Source organism: Homo sapiens, chromosome 16, assembly GCF_000001405.40.
Source record: "Homo sapiens chromosome 16, GRCh38.p14 Primary Assembly".
NCBI classification, from domain to species: domain Eukaryota; kingdom Metazoa; phylum Chordata; class Mammalia; order Primates; family Hominidae; genus Homo; species Homo sapiens.
Window position 1 is genome coordinate 28329680 of NC_000016.10, and position 4771 is coordinate 28334450.

Sequence of the window (4771 nt, forward strand, 5' to 3'; positions counted from 1 at the left end):
AAATGGGGCCGGGCACCGTGGCTCACACCTGTAATCCTAGCACTTTGGGAGGCCCAGGGGGGCGGATCACCTGAGGTCAGGAATTCAAGACCAGCCTGGCCAACATGTCAAAACCCCATCTCTGCTAAAAATACAAAAATTAGCTGAACACGTTGGCTCATGCCTGTCATCCCAGCACTTTGGGAGGCCGAGCTGGGTGGATCACTTGAGGTCAGGGGTTTGAGACCAGCCTGGCTAACATGTACTAAAACTACAAACATTAGCCGGGCACAGTGGTGGCTGCCTGTAATCCCAGCTACTCAGGAGGCTGAGACAGGAAAATCGCTTGAACCCGGGAGGCGGAGGTTGTAGTGAGCCAAGATCGCGCCACTGCACTCCAGCCTGGGCGACAATATAATAACAATTATTTTTTTTTTGACAGAGACAAAAAATAATAATGATACTTTTTTTAAAAAAAGGAAAATGGGAGGTGATTGTAGAAGGTAGAGGATTTGGAGTGATAGTTCATTACAATTGTAATAAGGACCACAAGATGCTAAGAGTAATGAGATGTAGCGGACGTCTGCTATTTTTGCCTGTTCAGCATCCACTCGTTCTGCTTTGTGTGATAGCACCCCAAGCTTCCTTTGACCCAGTCCTTCCTTCAGCGGAGGCCGACCCCACCCCTTCGCTCTGTGGGGTGGCCACATGACCCAGGTCTAGCCAATCAGCACATTCCATCCCCCAGCGGCAGCTGTGTGCCCCTAGCCCAAGCTAGGCTGCTCCTGGCCTTGTGTACCTATTAGGGGAAAATGTGTTCTCTTTTCACTGGAGTTGCTAAGCATGTGGGATGTAAGCCTGGACATGCTGGTGGCTGCCTTTGCCACCGCTTAGGGAGATTCTGGCCAGGCATGAAGCCGGCACAGAGTAAATGAAGCAGGGCCAGGAGATGAGGAGAGATGGATTCTGATTGCGTTATATGAGTACTAGGATCTGTGTCTGAAATCCAAATGGCTTTTTCTTTTCTTTTCTTTTCTTTTCTTTTCTTTTCTTTTCTTTTCTTTCTTTTTCGAAACGGAGCACACTCTGTCACCCAGGCTGGAGTGCAATGGCACGATCTCAGCTCACTACAACCTCTGCCTCCCGGGTTCAAGTGATTCTACTGCCTCAGCCTCCCGTGTAGCTGGGATTACAGGCGTGCACCAACACACCCGACTAATTTTTGTATTTTTAGTAAAGACAGGGTTTCACCATGTTGGCCAGGCTGGTCTTGCACTCCTGACCTCACGTGATCTGCCCCACCTTGGCCTCCCAAAGTGCTGGGATTACAGGTGTGAACCACTGCGCCCAGCCACAAGTGGCTTTTTCAATTACATGAGCCAACATATTCTCACAAGTCCATTTGAGTTTGGTGTCTGTTACTTGCAAATAAGGGAGTTCTGATTGGTTCCCAGTGAAACCTCATCTGTAAGACCTCTGAGCCACCAGTATCCACGGGGCTTGTCCTATAACAGCTCTTGTGCAATCCAGTAGCCTTGAACACTGGAAGCCACTGAGCCCTTCTGTGAGTAGATGCACACCTCTGAGGCTAAGATTACTGGTGTACTCATTGGGACCAGTTTGGTCTCAGTGACTGAAAACTCAACCCAAACTTGTTCATTTGGAAAGGAAAAGTCAACCAGGCACAGTGGCTCATGCCTGTAGTTCCAGCACTTTGGGAGGCTGAGGTGGACAGATCGCTTGAGCCCAGGAGTTCAAGACCAACCTGGGCAACATAGGAAAACCCTGCCTCTCCAAAAAAAAAAAAAAATTCTTTTTTTTCGAGACAGAGTCTCGCACTGTCGCCCAGGCTGGAGTGCAGTGGTGCAATCTTGGCTCACTGCAATCTCCGCCTCCCGGGCTCAAGCGATTCTCCTGCCTCAGCCTCCTGAGTAGCTGGACTACAGGCGTGCACCACCAGGGCCAGCCAATTTTTGTATTTTTAGTAGAGACAGGGTTTCACAATGTTGGCCAGGATGGTCTCGATTTCTTGACCTCGTGATCCGCCTGCCTCGGCTTCCCAAAGTGCCAGGATTACAGGCGTGAGCCACTGGTGCCTGGCCTCTACAAAAAATATTTTAAATTAGCAGGCATGATGGTGCATGCCTGTAGTCCCAAATGGGCAAAGTTGTTCTCTGATTGGCTGAGGTCTTTGTCACCTGCTCCACCCCTGAGCTGGAGCCCCACCCAAAGTAATTGACTGAAAGGGGGTGTTCTCCAGTGGGAAATTAGGTAAGGTGTACATTATTTGGCCCTAACTCTTCACCCTTCCCCCTACCCATGCCCTTAGCCATGTAATTTTGCAGTGCCCTCCTGTCACAGGCAGGATGACCTGATGCCTCTTTTTTCTTTTTTGAGATGGAGTCTCACTCTGTCGCCCAGGCTGGAGTGCAATGGTGCAATCTCAGCTCTCTGCAACCTCCACTTCCTGGGTTCAAGAGATTCTCCTGCCTCAGCCTCCCAAGTAGCTGGGATTACAGGCGCCTGCCACCACACCCAGCTAATTTTTGCATTTTTAGTAGAGAAAGGGTTTCGCCATGTTGGCCAGGCTGGTCTTGAACTCCTGACTTCAGGTGATCCTCCTCACCTGCCTTGCCTCCCAAAGTGCTGGGATTACAGGCATGAGCCACCACGCCCGGCCCTGCCTCTTGAGCTGGGGAGTTCAAGACCAGCCTGGGCAACATAATGAGATTTCAGCTCTATTAAAAATAATAATAATTAAACAAAAAAAAAGAATGGCCCTACCTTTCACTGGCAGGGAAGGGTGGAGGGCCCTCCTGTCATCTCCAAATCATAGTACTGTCCCCACCAGCCATAGCTGATCATTTTAGGAGTGGTTCCAAGGAGTCCCAAGCTGGGCCCATTACAGCCTCTCCTGGAGGGTTACAATTGGATGAGAAGCCAATCGATATCCTCTATAATTAAAAATATAAGAACTTAGGAGTCGTGGGGCAGCTGTGTTTAGTTGAAAGCCTAGAGAAGCAGAGAGAGTCCATGTGTTTGTTACTTACGGTAATGCTGGCTGCTGGAACAGATAAGCCCCGAAATCTCTGTGGCTTAACATCACAGAAGTTTATTACCTGCTCAGATAACAGTCTAAGGCAGATGTGCCACATGGAGATTCAGGGACTGCTACCTTGTGGTTCTGCTGTCTCTCGGCTGGTAGATAGCAAACAATGCAGACAGGAGAAGACAGATCCATGATCTTAACCATCTCAGCCCCAGACAGGGGACCGCGTCATTTCCACCCACCTTCCATCAGCAAGAACCAGTCACATGAGCACATCTAACAGCAATGAAGGCTGGGAAATACATGCCCAGGAAGGGAGGAATCAGTTTCTTTGCAGAGGAGAGAGGGAACAGAAGAGAGGGAAAGGGGGAAAATAGAGAGACGGAGGGAGAGAAAGAGAGAAGAACTAATGAGCACAGAACTAAGAAAGCCCAGGCACAGTGGCTCACATCAGTAATTCTAGGGCCTTGGGAGGCAAGACAAGAGAATCACTTGAGGCCATGAGTTCAAGGGCAGCCTAGGCAACATAGTGGGACCCTATCTCCACAAAAATAATAATATTATTATTATTAAATAAAATAAAAGGAAGAGACAGCCATGAAGATAACTAGCTGAGGCCAGGTACAGTGGCTCATGCCTATAATCCCAACACTTTGGGAGGTTGAGGTGGACAGATTGCTTGAGGTCAGAAGTTCCAGACCAGACTGACCAACATAGCAAAACCCCATCCCTACTAAAAATACAAAAATTAGCTGGGCGTGGTGGCAGGCACCTGTAGTCCCAGCTACTCGGGAGGCTGAGGCAGGAGAATCACCTGAACCTGGGAAGCGGAGGATGCAGTGAGCTGAGATCATGCCACTGCACTCCAGCCTGGGTGACAGAGCGAGACCCTGTCTCGAAAAAAAAAAAAATCACCTGGCTTGTTAAAACAGATTCCTGGACCCCACCCCAGAATTTGATTCAGGTTGGGAGTGAGGCCTGTGAAGTTGCATTTCTAGCAAATTCCCAGGTGATGCTCATGCCGCTGGTCCCAAACCACACTGTGAAGTGCCAGTTCCAGACTAGGAGACTCCAAAGAGACACTGGAGCCAACCACAATGTGCAAACCTGATTGGGTCCTGATTTGGAAATTAAACATCTTTAAAATGCATTCAGGGAATAATTGGGTTCATTTGAACGTGGACTCAATATTAGAAAATTTCTATTGATTTTCTTGGGTAGGGTGGTGACATGTGGCTGGCTATAAGGGAAGATGTCTTTATTTTTAGGAGATTCACATTGAAGTCATTATAGGGGTCAACTGACATGACATCTACAGCTAACTTTTATTTCATTTATTTATTATTATTATTATTTTAGAGACAGGGTCTTGCTCTGTCACCCAGGCTGGAGTGCAGTGGCATGATCGTAGCTCACTGCAGCCTCAAACTCCTGAGATCAAGCGATCCTCCTGCCTCAGCCTCTCCAATAGCTGGGACTACAGGCCCACACCACCATGCCTGGCTTACAACTAACTTTTAAATGTTGGCCAGGCGCAGTGGCTCACGCCTGAAATCCAAGCACTTTGGGAGGCCGAGGCAGGCGGATCACTTGAGGTCAGGAGTTCAAGACCAGCCTCGCCAACATGATGAAACCTCGTCTCTACAAAAAATACAAAAAATTAGCTGGGCATGGTGGCAGGTGCCTATAATTCCAGCTACTCAAGAGGCTGAGGCAGGAGGATCACTTGAACCCAGGAGGCGG

The 4771-nt window shown here is 48.8% G+C and overlaps 2 annotated features.

The window, feature by feature from the left end:
• Positions 775-1274: an enhancer, noted in NCBI's record as "H3K4me1 hESC enhancer chr16:28341775-28342274 (GRCh37/hg19 assembly coordinates)". NCBI's record gives its function as "activates a minimal SCP1, AML or CMV promoter by ChIP-STARR-seq in naive H9 embryonic stem cells {active_cell/tissue: H9 hESC(naive)}" and the evidence as "EXISTENCE:reporter gene assay evidence [ECO:0000049][PMID:30033119]".
• Positions 3036-3236: a silencer, noted in NCBI's record as "peak2550 fragment used in MPRA reporter construct". NCBI's record gives its function as "represses an SCP1 promoter by STARR-seq MPRAs in K562 erythroleukemia cells {active_cell/tissue: K562}" and the evidence as "EXISTENCE:reporter gene assay evidence [ECO:0000049][PMID:32103011]".